The sequence below is a fragment of the Homo sapiens genome, chromosome 2, assembly GCF_000001405.40.
Source record: "Homo sapiens chromosome 2, GRCh38.p14 Primary Assembly".
In the NCBI taxonomy this organism is placed as follows: Eukaryota; Metazoa; Chordata; class Mammalia; order Primates; family Hominidae; genus Homo; species Homo sapiens.
Window position 1 is genome coordinate 146,401,505 of NC_000002.12, and position 19,433 is coordinate 146,420,937.

General features: G+C 40.5%; 1 long non-coding RNA gene across 2 annotated transcripts in view, besides 2 other annotated features; it reads right to left on the reverse strand.

The window, feature by feature from the left end:
* LOC105373667 (uncharacterized) overlaps positions 1–11,847 on the reverse strand; it is a 210,228-nt gene extending 198,381 nt beyond the window's left edge. For both annotated transcript variants that reach the window (XR_923422.4, XR_923421.3), the window contains exon 1: positions 11,648–11,847. This is a non-coding gene — a long non-coding RNA (uncharacterized LOC105373667). The remainder of the gene's footprint in view (positions 1–11,647) is intronic.
* Positions 4,461–5,037: an enhancer, noted in NCBI's record as "OCT4-NANOG-H3K27ac-H3K4me1 hESC enhancer chr2:147163533-147164109 (GRCh37/hg19 assembly coordinates)". NCBI's record gives its function as "activates a minimal SCP1, AML or CMV promoter by ChIP-STARR-seq in naive and primed H9 embryonic stem cells {active_cell/tissue: H9 hESC(naive and primed)}" and the evidence as "EXISTENCE:reporter gene assay evidence [ECO:0000049][PMID:30033119]".
* Positions 12,932–14,730: an enhancer, noted in NCBI's record as "VISTA enhancer hs609". NCBI's record gives its function as "enhancer in: forebrain[9/18] | limb[9/18]" and the evidence as "EXISTENCE:transgenic organism evidence [ECO:0001131][PMID:17130149]".

The following is a 19,433-nucleotide window of genomic DNA, read 5'->3' on the forward strand; positions in this document are numbered from 1 at the left end:
GACAAGGGCTATTTCTTTGTGCCTGTTTTAACAGTTGATGATATTTTTTCTCCTCCCTCCTATGAATATAATAGCCACGTCTGCCTGACAAGGTAAAGAATCACCTGTAATTAGTGACATATTATGTTTGTTTCTCCAGCAGCTCATTTTCTCCAAAGTACTCATTTTTTTTTGCATTGTTTTATCAACAGCTCTAGGAAGCAATATAGAAGCTTTCAATCTCAAACTTGATGATTTATTTATGATACAAAAGTTTATTTTACTGTGACACTTTGAAGGCTTTTCTCATGTGGGTGGTATAATGATTTATGTTTTTAAATATTTCCTTGAAATATTAGAGATATCTATTGATTTACAGAACTATATACAGAATGCTACATTGGAATTTAAATATGATTAAATACTTTGTATTTGTCCATTTTTGCATTTTTATTGTTTTTGTTATACATTGATTATAAAAACAATAAAAAAAAGATATAAACAAGAAGAAAATAAAAATCACGTGTTCTATTATCCAGAAATAGGTACTACAGTATTTTGGTGAGCACATTTTCCATTCTTTTCTTTTTTTTTTTTTTTTTTTTTTTTTTTGAGACAGAGTCTCACTCTGTTGCCCAGGCTGGAGTGCAGTGGCGCAATCTCGGCTCACTGCAAGCTCCGCCTCCCGGGTTCACGCTATTCTCCTGCCTCAGCCTCCCGAGTAGCTGGGACTACAGGCGCCCGCCACCACGCCTGGCTAATTTTTTGTATTTTTAGTAGAGACGGGGTTTCACCGTGTTAGCCAGAATGGTCTCGATCTCCTGACCTGGTGATCCGCCCGCTTCGGCCTCCCAAAGTACTCTAAGCCTAATTGTACTGAGACTTGAAGACGGGAGACTTGTGTATCAGCAATGTTTCTTAAGACCGTGATTGAAATCATGTTTTTGTTTATGTTCTGTTTATTTCCCTAAATATAAGTTTAGTTTTGATTTAATAAGTCTTAAGATATAGTAGTATATAAAGGAAAGGGACTTTGAATCTCCCCTATTCTGAATCCAATTTACAAGGAAACTATAGGGTATTTCTTTCCTAGAAGCATCTCTGCTTGGATGTCCTGGACCTGCTCGTGATTGAGTGTCTTTATGACCTTTCTTCTAACAGGGTGGTCCAAAGAGAGATAGCTTTGGAATTACCTGAGGGCTTGTTAGAACTGCAGAATGTGCGTCCCGCTGTGTCCGGAATTGGTGGGTTCTTGGTCTCACTGACTTTAAGAATGAAGCCGCAGACCCTCGCGGTGAGTGTTACAGCTCTTAAGGTGACGCGTCTGGAGTTTGTTCCTTCTGATGTTCGGATGTGTTCAGAGTTTCTTCCTTCTGGTGGGTTCGTGGTATCCCTGGCTCAGGAGTGAAGCTGCAGACCTTCGCGGTGAGTGTTACAGCTCTTAAGGCAGCATGTCTGGAGTTTCTTCCTCCTGGTGGGCTCGTGGTCTCGCTGGCTTCAGGGGTGAAGCTGCAGATCTTCGCGGTGAGTGTTACAGCTCATAAAAGCAGCGTGGACCCAAAGAGTAAGCAGTAGCAAGATTTATTGCAAAGAGTGAAAGAACAAAGCTTCCACAGTGTTGAAGGGGACCCGATTGGGTTGCCAATGCTGGCTAGGGCAGCCTGCTTTTATTCTCTTATCTGGCCCCACCCACATCCTGCTGATTGGTAGAGCCAGTGGCCTGTTTTGACAGGGCGCTGATTGGTGCGTTTACAATCCCTGAGGTAGACACAAAGGTTCTCCACGTCCCCATCAGATTAGTTAGATACAGAGTTTCCACACACAGGTTCTCCAAGGCCCCACCAGAGCAGCTAGATACAGAGTGTCGATTGGTGCACTCACAAACCTTCAGCTAAACACAGGGTGCTGATTGGTGTGTTTACAAACTTTGAACTAGATACAGAGTGCGGATTGGTGTATTTACAATCCCTGAGCTAGACATAAAGGTTCTCCAAGGCCCCACCAGAGCAGCTAGATAGAGTGTCGATTGGTGCACTCACAAACCCTGAGCTAGACACAGGGTGCTGATTGGTGTATTTACAATCCCTGAGCTAGACATAAAGACTCTCCACGTCCCCACCAGACTTAGGAGGCCAGCTGGCTTCACCTAGTGGATCCCGCACTGGGGCTGCAGGTGGAGCTGCCTGCCAGTCCCTCGCCGTGTGCTCGCACTCCTCAGCCCTCGGGTGGTCGATGGGACTGGGCACCGTGGAGCAGGGGGTGGTGCTCGTCGGGGAGGCTCAGGCCGCACAGGAGCCCATGGAGTGGGTGGGAAGCTCAGGCATGGCGGGCTGCAGGTCCCGAGCCCTGCCCCATGGGAAGGCAGCTAAGGCTCGGTGAGAAATCGAGCACAGCACCGGTGGGCTGGCACTGCTGGGGGACCCAGTGCACACTCCGTAGCCACTGGCCCGGGTGCTAAGTCCCTCATTGCCCAGGGCCAGCAGGGCTGGCCGGCTGCTCCGAGTGCAGGGCTCGCCAAGCCCACTCCCACCCGGAACTCCAGCTAGTCCGCAAGCGCCGCACACACCCCCGGTTCCCGCTCACGCCTCTCCCTCCACACCTCCCTGCAAGCTGAGGGAGTGGGCTCCAGCCTTGGCCAGCCCAGAAAGGGGCTCCCACACTGCAGTGGTGGGCTGAAGGGTTCCTCAAATGCCGCCAAAATGGGAGCCCAGGCAGAGGAGGTGCCGAGAGCAAGCGAGGGCTCTGAGGACTGCCAGCACGTCTCAGAGTGCTGCCAGCACGTCACCGCCACAAAGCAACAGAATCATAATCTTCCATTTAACAATACCCCAATGTGATTTTCATACACATGAAATTTGGAGGAATAGTTACTCAGCTACAGCTTCTGTCGGACTTTCCTGGCCGATGCTCTAGCTCTCTCCAAGCTCTTAAAACACTAGTCCCTCCTTTGCCGTTTCCAACTTAGTAATGGTAATGGTTGCCATCTTTCAGTACTCCCTCAGTTTATGTTCCCTCTTGTGGATCCCTTCAACTGTACTCACACCTCCACAAATATCTCCTTCTGTAAAGTGTATTTAGAATCCCAGAGGTGTGTGCTTTTGGTTTCCTTCCAGAAACACAACTGATCACCTCTTGATGTGTGTACCTGGGGATATGCAGAGAGTTGGCAGGACACTGCCTCTATCTCATTCTTTTCTGAGGTCTTTCAATTCTGAATTCATAAAATTGCACTTCATCGATTCTGCCATACCTTGCCTCTCAAACGTAATCAAATTTGTCTGAACTCTTTTATGGTTTAAGTTAGTTTCTCTCCTGGTTTTTGTCATTTTCAAGTCAACATAGATTTACCACTTTTTCATCCAAATTCTGGCACGGTGTAAACATTCTCTTTCAGAGATAATTTTTTAGCAGATATGTCAAAATTTGTCGTGTATACTTTTTTGCTTTGATGAGATGTTTTACTTAGTCCTCATAATGAACTCATGTTATACTTTTAAGGGTGAAAAAACTGAAAAAGGAGATTACATAACTTTTCCAAGATCACATAGTTGTAGATGGCAAGCCCTTCTGATTCTAAAAGACTTTCTCTTAATAGCAATGGTATCAGACCCACCTGCATATATTTTTGCTCATTACTTCCAGGTAAACCTTTGCTGAGAAAGTCATCTAATTTTTTAGCAAAACATACACTAGACTCCTAATCATTTGGATAGTTTGAGCCACAATTAAATAGTCACACCCTGTTCACCAATCTCACGTTCGTAGTCAGACAGCATTCTGCTAAAAGTTAGTTTCTCTCTTCAATGGACATCCACTCTGCTAAGGATGATAAAGCCAATTCTGTACAGCCATATATGTGGCTTTACGTAAAATCTAATGTACCCTCAGAAATTGAGTCCTAGGCCTGTTCGTAGGAAATAGGGAAATTCTGGAATCTCATGATAACATCTTAACTGGTCTTTCCAACCATCTGCCTACTGTATCCTATTAGAGCACCACCTCCCTTCCAGTTGCTCCCAGGATCTTTGCACTTTCATTATCCTGAATGTCTTATGCCTTCCAAGGTAGGACTAGGTCACAGGACTCAGTCATAGTATTTACTGGGGCTAGGAGGAGTACTGTTTTCTTAGGATCAGAGAAAACAGTCAGTGTCATATTTCATGAGCCTGCTAAACCATGAGTCATGCTAAACCATCTACCCCAAATGACAGGAGCTGTAATCAAGCACCATCAATGATTTCACCTAAGAAGACATCTTGGAGGAGCCAAGACGGCCGAGTGGGAACAGCTCCGGTCTACAGCTCCCAGCGTGAGCGATGCAGAAGACGGGTGATTTCTGCATTTCCATCTGAGGTACCGGGTTCATCTCACTAGGGAGTGCCAGACAGTGGGCGCAGGTCAGTGGGTGTGCGCACCGTGCGCAAGCCGAAGCAGGGCGAGGCATTGCCTCACTTGGGAAGCGCAGGGGGTCAGGGAGTTCCCTTTCTGAGTCAAAGAAAGGAGTGACGGACGGCACCTGGAAAATCGGGTCACTCCCACCCGAATACTGCGCTTTTCCGATGGGCTTAAAAAACGGTGCACCACAAGATTATATCCCGCACCTGGCTTGGAGGGTCCTACGCCCATGGAGTCTCGCTGATTGCTAGCACAGCAGTCTGAGATCAAGCTGCAGGGCGGCAGCGAGGCTGGGGGAGGGGCGCCCGCCATTGCCCAGGCTTGATTAGGTAAACAAAGCAGCCGGGAAGCTGGAACTGGGTGGAGCCCACCACAGCTCAAGGAGGCCTGCCTGCCTCTGTAGGCTCCACCTCTGCCGGCAGGGCACAGACGAACAAAAACACAGCAGTAACCTCTGCAGACTTAAATATCCCTGTCTGACAGCTTTGAAGAGAGCAGTGGTTCTCCCAGCACGCAGCTGGAGATCTGAGAACGGGCAGACTGCCTCCTCAAGTGGGTCCCTGACCCCTGACCCCTGAGCAGCCTAACTGGGAGACACCCCCCAGCAGAGGCACACTGACACCTCACACGGCAGGGTACTCCAACAGACCAGCAGCTGAGGGTCCTCTCTGTTAGAAGGAAAACTAACAAACAGAAAGGACATCCACACCAAAAACCCATCTGTACATCACCATCATCAAAGACCAAAAGTAGATAAAACCACAAAGATGGGGAAAAAACAGAACAGAAAAACTGGAAACTCTAAAAAGCAGAGCGCCTCTCCTCCTCCAAAGGAACGCAGTTCCTCACCAGCAACGGAACAAAGCTGGATGGAGAATGACTTTGAGGAGTTGAGAGAAGAAAGCTTCAGACGATCAGATTACTCTGAGCTACGAGAGGACATTCAAACCAAAGGCAAAGAAGTTGAAAACTTTGAAAAAAATTTAGAAGAATGTATAACTAGAATAACCAATACAGAGAAGTGCTTAAAGGAGCTGATGGAGCTGAAAACCAAGGCTCGAGAACTATGTGAAGAATGCAGAAGCCTCAGGAGCCGATGCAATCAACTGGAAGAAAGCGTATCAGCGATGGACGATGAAATGAATGAAATGAAGCGAGAAGGGAAGTCTAGAGAAAAAAGAATAAAAAGAAATGAGCAAAGCCTCCAAGAAATATGGGACTATGTGAAAAGACCAAATCTACATCTGATTGGTGTACCTGAAAGTGATGGGGAGAATGGAACCAAATTGGAAAATACTCTGCAGGATATTATCCAGGAGAACTTCCCCAATCTAGCAAGGCAGGCCAACATTCAGATTCAGGAAATACAGAGAACGCCACAAAGATAATCCTCGAGAAGAGCAACTCCAAGACACATAATTGTCAGATTCATCAAAGTTGAAATGAAGGAAAAAATGTTAAGGGCAGCCAGAGAGAAAGGTCGGGTTACCCTCAAAGAGAAGCCCATCAGACTAACAGCGGATCTCTCGGCAGAAACCCTACAAGCCAGAAGAGAGTGGGGGCCAATATTCAACATTCTTAAAGAAAAGAATTTTCAACCCAGAATTTCATATCCAGCCAAACTAAGCTTCATAAGTGAAGGAGGAATAAAATACTTTACAGACAAGCAAATGCTGAGAGACTTGGTCACCACCAGGCCTGCCTTACAAGAGCTCCTGAAGGAAGCACTAAACATGGAAAGGAACAACCGGTACCAGCCACTGCAAAATCATGCCAAAATGTAAAGACCATCGAGACTAGGAAGAAACTGCATCAACTAACGAGCAAAATCACCAGCTAACATCATAATGACAGGATCAAATTCACACGTAACAATATTAACTTTAAATGTAAATGGACTAAATGCTCCAATTAAAAGACACAGATTGGCAAATTGGATAAAGAGTCAAGACCCATCAGTGTGCTGTATTCAGGAAACCCATCTCACCTGCAGAGACACACATAGGCTCTAAATAAAAGGTTGGAGGAAGATCTACCAAGCCAATGGAAAACAAAAAAAGGCAGGGGTTGCAATCCTAGTCTCTGATAAAACAGACTTTAAACCAACAAAGATCAAAAGAGACAAAGAAGGCCATTACATAATGGTAAAGGGATCAATTCAACAAGAAGAGCTAACTATCCTAAATATATATGCACCCAATACAGGAGCACCAAGATTCATAAAGCAAGTCCTGAGTGACCTACAAAGAGACTTAGACTCCCACACATTAATAATGGGAGACTTCAACACGCCACTGTCAATATTAGACAGATCAACGAGACAGAAAGTCAACAAGGATACCCAGGAATTGAACTCAGCTCTGCACCAAGCGGACCTAATAGACATCTACAGAACTCTCCACCCCAAATCAACAGAATATACATTTTTTTCAGCACCACACCACACCTATTCCAAAATTGACCACATACTGGGAAGTAAAGCTCTCCTCAGCAAATGTAAAAGAACAGAAATTATAACAAACTATCTCTCAGACCACAGTGCAATCAAACTAGAACTCAGGATTAAGAATCTCACTCAAAACCGCTCAACTACATGGAAACTGAACAACCTGCTCCTGAATGACTACTGGGTACATAATGAAATGAAGGCAGAAATAAAGATGTTCTTTGAAACCAACGAGAACAAAGACACAACATACCAGAATCTCTGGGACGCATTCAAAGCAGTGTGTAGAGGGAAATTTATAGCACTAAATGCCCACAAGAGAAAGCAGGAAAGATCCAAAATTGACACCCTAACATCACAATTAAAAGAACTAGAAAAGCAAGAGCAAACACATTCAAAAGCTAGCAGAAGGCAAGAAATAACTAAGATCAGAGCAGAACTGAAGGAAATAGAGACATAAAAAACCCTTCAAAAAATTAATGAATCCAGGAGCTGGTTTTTTGAAAGGATCAACAAAATTGATAGACCACTAGCAAGATTAATAAAGAAAAAAAGAGAGAAGAATCAAATAGACGCAATAAAAAATGATAAAGGGGATATCACCACCGATCCCACAGAAATACAAACTACCATCAGGGAATACTACAAACACCTCTACGCAAATAAACTAGAAAATCTAGAAGAAATGGATAAATTCCTGGACACATACACTCTCCCAAGACTAAACCAGGAAGAAGTTGAATCTCTGAATAGACCAATAACAGGAGCTGAAATTGTGGCAATAATCAATAGCTTACCAACCAAAAAGAGTCCAGGACCAGATGGATTCACAGCCGAATTCTACCAGAGGTACAAGGAGGAACTGGTACCATTCCTTCTGAAACTATTCCAATCAATAGAAAAAGAGGGAATCCTCCCTAACTCATTTTATGAGGCCAGCATCATTCTGATACCAAAGCCAGGCAGAGACACAACAAAAAAAGAGAATTTTAGACCAATATCCTTGATGAACATTGATGCAACAATCCTCAATAAAATACTGGCAAAACGAATCCAGCAGCACATCAAAAAGCTTATCCACCATGATCAAGTGGGCTTCATCCCTGGGATGCAAGGCTGGTTCAATATATGCAAATCAATAAATGTAATCCAGCATATAAACAGAGCCAAAGACAAAAACCACATGATTATCTCAGTAGATGCAGAAAAAGCCTTTGACAAAATTCAACAACCCTTCATGCTAAAAACTCTCAATAAATTAGGTATTGATGGGACGTATTTCAAAATAATAAGAGCTATCTATGACAAACCCACAGCCAATATCATACTGAATGGGCAAAAACTGGAAGCATTCCCTTTGAAAACTGGCACAAGACAGGGATGCCCTCTCTCACCACTCCTATTCAACATAGTGTTGGAAGTTCTGGCCAGGGAAATTAGGCAGGAGAAGGAAATAAAGGGTATTCAATTAGGAAAAGAGGAAGTCAAATTGTCCCTGTTTGCAGACGACATGATTGTATATCTAGAAAACCCCACTGTCTCAGCCCAAAATCTCCTTAAGCTGATAAGCAACTTCAGCAAAGTCTCAGGATACAAAATCAATGTACAAAAATCACAAGCATTCTTATACACCAACAACAGAGAAACAGAGAGCCAAATCATGAATGAACTCCCATTCACAATTGCTTCAAAGAGAATAAAATACCTAGGAATCCAACTTACAAGGGATGTGAAGGACCTCTTCAAGGAGAACTACAAACCACTGCTCAAGGAAATAAAAGAGGATACAAACAAATGGAAGAACATTCCATGCTCATGGGTAGGAAGAATCAATATCGTGAAAATGGCCATACTGCCCAAGGTAATTTACAGATTCAATGCCATCCCCATCAAGCTACCAATGCCTTTCTTCACAGAATTGGAAAAAACTACTTTAAAGTTCATATGGAACCAAAAAAGAGCCTGCATCGCCAAGTCAATCCTAAGCCGAAAGAACAAAGCTGGAGGCATCACACTACCTGACTTCAAACTATACTACAAGGTTACAGTAACCAAAACAGCATGGTACTGGTACCAAAACAGCAACCCTTCATGCTCCAGAATTAGCCCTCCAAAGGGCTAATATCCAGAATCTACAATGAACTCAAACAAATTTACAAGAAAAAAACAAACAACCCCATCAAAAAGTGGGCGAAGGACATGAACAGACACTTCTCAGAAGACATTTATGCAGCCAAAAGACACATGAAAAAATGCTCATCATCACTGGCCATCAGAGAAATGCAAATCAAAACCACAATGAGATACCATCTCACACCAGTTAGAATGGCGATCATTAAAAAGTCAGGAAACAACAGGTGCTGGAGAGGATGTGGAGAAATAGGAACACTTTTACACTGTTGGTGGGACTGTAAACTAGTTCAACCATTGTGGAAGTCAGTGTGGCGATTCCTCAGGGATCTAGAACTAGAAATACCATTTGACCCAGCCATCCCATTACTGGGTATATACCCAAAGGACTATAAATCATGCAGCTATAAAGACACATGCACATGTATGTTTATTGTGGCACTATTCACAATAGCAAAGACTTGGAACCAACCCAAATGTCCAACAATGATAGACTGGATTAAGAAAATGTGGCACATATACACCATGGAATACTATGCAGCCATAAAAAATGATGAGTTCATGTCCTTTGTAGGGACATGGATGAAATTGGAAATCATCATTCGCAGTAAACTATCGCAAGAACAAAAAACCAAACACTGCATATTCTCACTCATAGGTGGGAATTGAACAATGAGATCACATGGACACAGGAAGGGGAATATCACACTCTGGGGACTGTTGTGGGGTGGGGGGAGGTGGGAGGGATAGCATCGGGATATATACCTAATGCTAGATGACGAGTTAGTGGGTGCAGTGCACCAGCATGGCACATGTATACATATGTAACTAACCTGCACAATGTGCACATGTACCCTAAAACTTAAAGTATAATAAAAAATAAAAAAATAAAAATAAAATAAAAAATAAAAAACAAAACAAAAAAAAAAGAAGACATCTTGATCAATCCCATTTAAAATCAGGACACTGCACTTTTCACATTTTGTGGTGAAACATTTGAATTTCTACTGAGTGCCAGATAGCATGCTAAGTGCTTTCATATGGATTATCACATTTAAATCTAACCACAACTTGTGAGGGGGGTATTATTATTCTCTTCATTTTATAAATATGGGAATTGTCATTTCCTAATACATAAGTACTGAGCCCACCAGGTTGGCAAAGGATTTAAAAATCAGACAATGCAAATAATGAGGACAAATAGTAACTCTAGCACATTTCTATCAAGTGTAAATGCACACCATATAGAGAACTATTTGCCAATATTTAGGGAAGTTGTAGATGTACCTATCTTATTATCTGACAAGTACACATCTAGTTATACATCCCAAGGCAACTCTCTCACATTAAGAATATCCATTGAAGACTCAGTTGTAATCATGGAAATAACCTCAATGTTCAACCCAAAGCAAATACAGTAAGTTATGCTTACCTACAGAATATTAGAGAGCAGCTACAAAGTATGATTTAAAGTTATAGATATTGAAATTGATAAATATCAAACATAAAGTTGAGTGAAAAGGAAAGTGCAAAGTGAATATACTTTATGATACCATTTATTTAGAATTTGATACCAGTAAAATCTTAACAAATATTTCTTATTTCTAACTGTATATGTAGTGAAGTATTAAAAATGTTGAATATGAAATGCTACATACTTCTGAGGGGAAAGGAGGAAGAATGGATACCTAAGAGATATACTTAGGAATTTCACCTTGTTATTAGATCTGTGTAGTGGGTACTCATGTGTTCTGCTAAGTTAGTTTATATACTCTTCTCTAATTTTAATAAAGAAGGGAGAAAAGTAGGAAAAGATCAAAAGCAAAAAACAAAACAAAAACAATAGGATGCTAACAAAAAACACGATGACACACACAAAAGAATGAATACAGGTGAAACTGGGGGAATCTGAGTAAAACCAGTGGGTTATACCAACACCAATATCCTGGTTGCCCTGTATTAATATGATTTTGTAAGATGTTACCACTGAGGGAAATTGGATAAAGTATATTCAGAAACTGTGTAATTTTGTACCACTGTTTGTGAATTAATTATCTCAATAACAGTTTAAAATAAAAAATTATAATAAAAAATAAATTTAAAAATATAATGTTCCCACAAGTCTACCTATCATTGGCTTTTACTAAAAATTTAAAGACTAAATAAATAAATTCATAGGGATCAATAAAATCTACAACATTTGTCAGCCACAAAACACTGCTTTTGCTTTTCAAGTTAATTCTTTTCTGAAAAGCACCTTTGTCCCATAGAGATAGTGACACGGGCAAAGTTCCCTTGTTCCCCTTGCAGGGCTGCGATGGGGAAGTGGTGTGCTTCGGTGCCCCTGTTGCTCAGACCTCTAGGGGGCGCATGCGGAGGGGCAGGCTGTGGGGCTCCAACCGCACAGCAGCATCTAGGGGTGAGAGTTTACAGCTGACGCTCCAGTGGCCGTGTGTTACAGTGTGCTTTTTCAGTTTACCCATCCATTGGTGGCTTGTGTTAACCAGCTCAATTAGACCCTCTGACTTATTGCAAGGACAGAGGGCTTTGCTGTATCCTGGGTTCCTTTCTTACTGTACCAGAAAAATCGGAACACACGTGGGCTTGGAGAATGAGTGCAAGGTTTTCAGTGGAAGCAACGCTCAGCAGATAGATGGGCTAAGCCAGAAGATGGATAGAGTGGGAAGGTGGTTTTACCTGGAGTCAGGCCGCTCAGCAGCTGGGCTCTCCTTTGTCCACCCTCGGCGGAACTCCATGTTGTACCACCGGTCGATGGCCTGGTGGCGTCTGCTTGTGTCTGCCCGTGTGTCCTTCCGCGGTGTGTGCCACTGAACATCCAGACGCTTGTGTGTTCTTCCGCTGGTGTGTTCCTCTTGACATCCAGCGGCCTGTGTTTCTGCCTGCTAGGGTCCCTGGGTTTTTATAGGCACGGGATGGGGGCGTGGCGGGCCACGGTGGTCTTGGAAAATGCAACATTTGAGTCCTCACCTAGGTCCGTGGGCACAGGCCCGGGGGTGGAGCGCTAGCTAGGGACCCGCCCTTCTCCTCCAAGCACTCCCCTTCCCCCGCTCCCATATCAATAGCATGTGTGCTAGGCTTGCTTACTAGGAAATAAAATGGTCAAATGCCTAAGAAAATCACCAAAAAGTTGTTTGCCTTCTGGAAATTACAGATATAAATGTGATCCTTAATGAATTATTAAATACATAAAAAATAATATTGTGGCTCAAAATCTTGTATATATAAATAAGCCATCTTTGTTGATAATTATTAATACACTTTACAGTGAGTCTACATCAGAGAATCTTAATACAAAAGTTGACAACCAAACCAGAGTATTTCAAGGTTGATCTCATGGTAACTCCTAATAATCTTTGGTGACTGAAAAATGCAGAATTCCAGTCAGAATTCAAAACTTTTGAATTGAGATCTCTTATGATGTGGCCCAAAGGTTTATACATTGACATAAATGTTCTTTTAATATGTATTATTGCTGTACAAAGAAACTTGAGAACTGTTTATTTGAATACTTGAATTATCCTTGTTGGCTATCACAGTTTATGAAATCAACCAACTGTAATCAACACTTTATAGCTTGCATTGTAAAACTGTAAAATCCATCCCCCTTTAATCTAGCAGTTTATTTTGTGTCTAACTAGGCATGGGTAAGTAGTGCCAGTGTGTAACCAGGTGAGACCATTAAAGCTGCTGTGATGTTTAGACCTTAGGTGTGAGCTTAAGGGCAATTCAAGGAACAACAGGATTTGTGAACATTTGTATTAGTACAAAATAACTTATCCATGTAAAAAAATGTGTTTTTGTCATGTGTGAGAGCAGGAACACTCATAAGTTTCTCCCTAGCAATGTCTAGCTCATTGTAATGTTCAAAAAAAATTTTTTAATTAAATGAATGAGATCTTGGAAACACAATATTCCATAGACAGAGCTTGGAAAATATTTTTTGAAATACCTTTTAAAAAGTCCTTGGAATAATTAGGCTTTCCTAATTATTTCACAACCACACTAATAATCTGAGGTAGATGTTTAATTTCGTGTCTTTCCACACCCCCCAACTATTTGGAGATCACCTGGTTTTAACCTGCATCCAGAGCTGTCTTGCTGGGCTAATGGAGACTCGTGTGGCACACGTCAGGCGGCAGTTAAATAGGGTTGCTCCTGCTGCTTCCCTCATTGCCCAATTACCTGACTGACTCTTGCAAGTCATAGCTCATGGAATCCTACAACTGGGCACACCAGGGCACCTGATCAAACATGATTTTTCAGGCCCACAAGTCACAGTTCTGCTCTATCTCAAAGCAAAGATCTGCCAAGCTCTTAAGATGATTTAGCCTGGAGTATTTTAAATAACTTCAGAAAATGCAAAGCTTTCTGTCGGTTTGAACACTTCCTGTCACTTTTTAGAACACCTGGCACTCAAATATTTAAATTACAATTCCAGCTTTAATGTGAAGGAACTAACAATAAATCCTTTCTCTTCCCATAATACTTCGGGTCTGACTTTTCTTTAATTTTCTAAAAATGCAGATTTGGGAAATGAAATTAGCAATGCAAGGTGAACCTAGTGTGAATTTTACTGAAGATTATGCAAATGCAGGAAATTATAATTCTATCAGGATGTCATTACATGTGTCTACTTAGACACACATTTTCTGCTATGTTTAAGTTAAACAAAACACTAAATGACTATGTAGTATGACATCTCATTAATATGTTTCCATTCACATCTGTGCCTTTAGTATAAAAAAAAAGACTGCTTCAATGATAAGAGATTAGGTCCTTTAATTAGAAACAAATGACAAATCACTGTTAACCCCATGTGATGCTTTCTAAAACTTCCATCACATATTCCTCTTAAAACATTATTAAACATAAGTTCCCCAGATCTACTTCCTAGAAAGTGCCATTTAACAAAACCCAGGCAGGATGTTAATACTGAGGCGGAATTACAGGTTGCCAAAGCATTTCCTGTGAGAGGATTGACAGGGGATCATTTTGTTATGGGGCCACCTCCAGTGTGTTGTGACAACCACTCATTACACCTCTAAGCAGAGCACTCAGCTGTAGGTTTCTACAAGATGCAAATAGCTCCAAATGGGTTCAATTTAGAGCGAGTGGATAATGTATCACTCATTTCTCTAAGGTAGAAGCTTTTAATTTCCCAAGAACAGGAAAGAGAGGAACATTTCAGTTTCTGGAAAAAAAACATTCAGTTAACCAACTATGCCTGAGAAATGGAGTCACAATAGCAATATCTGTTACATTGTAAATAAAAACACTTCACCTGCCTTGTTTCCCCTTGGCCCAAAACGAAACACCAAGTGGTCAAGTGAGCATCACCTCTCAATAAATATAATTACCCACTTAAGAGCTCAATGTCAAAAACTAGTAACCTCTAAGTGATGGTAGGTTTTTCTCTTACAAAAGGAACTGCTTACAAAGCTACTATAGTTAATTATAATAATACTCAAAAAGTGTTTAAAACACATTTTGATATAGAAAAAATATCATGGAAAGCTTTCACAGTTGGACTTTAATATTTTAGTGTGCTAGTTTTTATACCCCTCTGTGATTTTACTCCCACTGTTCTATTACTGATTTTAGTAAGTGTTGCTAACAATGGAATACAGCAGCCTCTACTACCAGCTATTTAGAAGAGAGGTACGCTGATGTGGATTGGAAAAAGTCAATAAGCCCATTTAAGATTCCTGTGTTTAACAAAGCCACAGGAGAAGCCAGCGAGCTACAAAACATGCCCATGTTACAAGACGGTTGTTTTTTGCTATGAGTACATTAATGAGCAGAATGTTCTTTGCTATAAAACACCAGCATCACTCTGGCCATGATTACTGAAATACTCTCTGGATGTCAATGTCCTTTTGTTTTGAGTACTTTACTAAGAAATTAATTATCCACTAGGAATCCACTGAGATGGGTCTATAGCTGACCTATGTAAAAATAATAATGAATCTGTCTGAAAAGATATGAACTGAAAGTACAGAAAGAGGGTTTCTTTAAGTCTGCTATATGATGTAGAATACTTACTAGTGATCCTGAAAGTTTGCTCTTCATTTTTATAAAATTAAGTTTTAAAGATTATTTTTCCATAATCATATATATTTTTATAATATATATTTAATTTATATGTATGTTATAGAAATTATATGTATAAATATAAATATATATGCCATTCTCTGTCTCTCTGAATATATATTCTAAATAGCTGATGCATATATACCCACACACACACACAAACACACATGCATATATATATATATATTTAAAGAGACAGAGAACAGTTTATTTGGGAGATGGTCCCAGGAAACACAGGTAGGAGAGAAAAAAAGCGATACGGGGAAGAGAAGGCAGTCACTCAAGTATGTGTTATCAAGAAAGTTGTTTAATTTTGCTGAGGAGCTCTGGGGATTGGTGCAGATTTCACTGGCTGCCCAGTTACCTAGACATGGAGCAAGGGAAGCTTGCATTTACAGACCTGTTTCCAGCAGTTACTGGCCTGTTGCTATTTCTAAAGTGTAACAGTTCTCCACCATTTAGGTAACTTAATTAAATAAATAATAAAGGGGCAGAAACTGTTGGCTTTCTACTATTGTCCCTTCCTTCTTTAGTAATAGAATGCATAATTTTTAGTTAAGTCATGTGGCTTTCTGTATTAAAATAATATTTCCCAGCCACCCTTAACCAAGTTTTTTTTTTGTATATAATAAGATATAATCAGAAGTGTCTGTGTAGCTTTTGAGCAGTGATGTGAAAGAAAGGAGTTTCTCTTTCTTGAACTTGGCCTCCCTCCTACTGGCTGTTGGCATATATGTATAGAGACACACACATATAACACTGGAGGTGGGGCCTGGTAGGAGGTGATTGGATCATAGGGACAGGTTCTCACAAATGGTTTAGCACCATCCCTCTTGGTACTGCCCCTTTGAGAGTGAATGAACTCTCTGAGATCTGGTCATTTAAAAGTGTCTAGCAGCTCCTCCCTTGCTCTCTTGCTCCTACTCTGTCTGTATGAGATGCGTGCTCCCATTTTGCCTTGTGCCATGATTCTAAGTTTCCTGAGGCCTCCTCTAAGCAGATGCCAGCATCATGCTTCCTATACAGCTTGCAGAACTATGAGCTAATTAAACATCCTTTTCTTTATAAATTACCTAGTCTCAGGTATGTCTTTGTAGTAATGTGAGAATGAATTAATAATTAATACAATGCATATAGAAACTCTTGCTTAGAGTGCTAGGAGAAATGTTTCATAATGTCCATAGCAGCATTTTTGAAACAGCAAAATATGGGGGGTAAAATCCCACCAATAGAATAATGAATAACTGTTGATATATTCATACAGTTGAATACTGTAGAGTAGGGAAGTAAATGAAGAATAGTTATATACAGGAACATGTGTGAATCTCTAAATATAATATTGAGCAAAAAGAAATAACAGAACACATATGATTCTATTTACTTAAAGTTCAAAATAAAAGACAAAATATAAATAGATTTCTACTTCTGTCCATGAATTATTATCTGCAATAGAAATTTCCATTCCATCATAAAAAAAAAAAACAGTAAAAACAGCATAAAATAGATGGAACTGTTTACAGATATTTGACAACATGCTGCACAGAACTGTGATTCATACGAGAAAGAAAGCAAACAAGATGAGCCATACAGTTGCCCAGTTTACTACCAGGATTCAGTTTCTAGGCCACATCCCAGGGAGAAAAAAATGAAACAGAGCCTGGAGGTTACACTGAGGTGAGAAAACTTGTAGGAGTTCAGGAAAGCTGAGACAGTTGTAGAGAATATTGAAAATGATGGTACCGAAGAGAAGCAAAACTCCCAAGATCTTCAGAAGGGTCCCACTGAGTGCCTTTGGCCATGTTACTGATGGAGTCATGCATAGACAAACTCCACAAGAAGAGGGTAGAAATAATGATTCCCAGCATCAGTGAAAAGCTAGGAGTAGTTGAAGTTATCGCTACCAGAGCAACCTCATAACAAGTAAATAAATAATCAGTCCAGGCAAAGTGGCCCGTGTCTCTACTTCCAGCACGTTGGGAGGCCAAGGTGGAAGAATCGCTTGAAGCCAGGAGTTCAGGACCGGCTTCGGCAATGCAACAAGATCCTATCTCTACAAAAAATAAAAATTAAAAAAAGTATTCAAGAATGGTGGCATTGTGTTTGTAGTCCCAGCTACTCAAGAGGCTGAGGCGGAAGGATCACTTGAGCCCAGGATTTGAGGTTGCTGAGGTTACAGTGAGCTATGATTGCACCACTGCACTACAGCCTGGGTGATAGAGCAAGACCTTGTCTCTGAAATAGTAATAATAAAAACTTTGGTTAGAATTCTCAGAAGGGATTTCTATTAGTGGCTAAATTAGCATCAGAATAAATGCTACATTGCTCTTTCCCTAACAAAGTTTAAAAAATAAGCCTCAAAAAAATCAAATTGGTCTACCTACTTACTTACCTGCATGCCAGAATAGCCTAACATTCTTTTCCTTTTTTTTCTTTCTTTCTTTTTTTTTTTTTTTGAGATGGAGTCTCGCTCTGTTGACCAGGCTGGAGTGCAGTGGCACGATCTCGGCTCTCTGCAAGCTCCGCCTCCCGGGTTCACGTCATTCTGCTGCCTCAGCCTCCCAAGTAGCTGGGACTACAGGTGCCCGCCACCACGCCCAGCTAAAATTTTGTATTTTTTTAGTAGAGACGGGGTTTCACGGTGTTAGCCAGGATGGTCTCAATCTCCTGACCTCGTGATCTGCCCACCTCGGCCTCCCAAAGTGCTGGGATTACAGGCGTGAGCCACCGCACCCGGCCTAGCCTAACATTCTTTAAGAGAATATTACAAAATTCAGCACTCAGCAACATAAATTTCAGAATGCCTGCCATGCAAAAAATATCCCAGATATACAAATCAGTAAGAAAAAATAATTAATAGAAATAGCTATAGAGATTAGGGAGAAGATAGAATTAGAAGACAAAAATCTTAAAACAACTTTCATAAAGTTTAGAATAGGATACAAAGGACCACGTGGATGTAATGAAGACAGAGAATGAAGATACAAAACACTCCACTGGAACTTGTAGAGATAAAAATAAATATACAACTTGGAAAATATATTCAATAGGATTAACAGGTGATTAGATACGGCAGAAGGAAAAAAATCAAATTTGAAATTAACATAGGAATAGAAAGTATCCAAAATAAAGCAAAGAGAAAAGTAAACACTATAAAATAATAGAGTATCAGTAATCTGTGGGACTGTATTAGTTTTCTATTGCCACTGTAAAAATTACCAGAGATGTGAATTAACCAACACAAATTCATTATTTTACAGTTCTGTGGTTAGAAGGTCTACATAGAACTCACTGGGCTATGGTCAATGTTCAGGCAGGCTACATTCCTTCTGAAGGCTCTAGGGTACAATCTCTGCCTTTTCCAGTTTCTAAAGGCTATCCCCCTTCCGTGGCACATGGCTTCTTTCTATTTTTAAGCCAACAACAGTGAGTTGATGTCATACCTTACAATTATATTTGCAAAGTCCCTTATACCATGTAAGATACCATAGTCAGTCTCAGGTTCTGGGCACTAAGATGTGTTCTTGGGATGGGGAGGCATTATTCTGAGCACCATGGGGACAAAACTAAAGAGTGTGTGTGTGTGTGAATATATAACTGGAGTCCCAGGAAGAGGAATGGGAGACAGCAAAAATATTTGAAGAAATTACAACCAAAATTGATAAAAAGTATAAAACCACAGATCCAAGAATCTCATAAAAATTCTAGCAGAATAAGAAAAAATAAAATCATCTAAAGGCATATCAAAATCAAATTCCTACATACCAATGATAAAGAGAAAAATCTTAAGACCATCCAAAGAAAAGAGACACATATGAAAACAAAACAAAACAATCAAACAGATAGATAAACAGAAAAACTTGTTGCCAGAAACCATGTTTGCTTAAAGATAAGGGAGTAACATCTTTTAATATTGTGGGAAGGGTGGAAGTTGACAACTGTCAAACTAGAATTCCATCTTCTTTGCAAACTATATTTCAAAAGTAACAACATAATGAAGCCTTTTTCAGAAAATATAAATTGAGAATTCATCACCAGATAATTAAACCCCAACAAATGTTAAAGGAAATTCTTCAGACAAAGGAAAATAATACCAGATTAAAATTTGAATCTGCAGAAATAAATGAAGTGGACCACTAATGATAAACAGGTTGGAAACACATTTTGTAACACACACCCACAGACACACATACACACACGCCCACGACACACAAATCTTTTATTTTAATCTCTATGAAATATATTTAACTGTTTAAATAAAAAATGCCACATGATGTATTTTGGGTTTTATAACATGTAGAAGTAAATTATGTAACAAAAAAGCACAAAGAATAGGAGAGATGCAAGTAGATTGCTGAAAGTGCTTACATTTTAT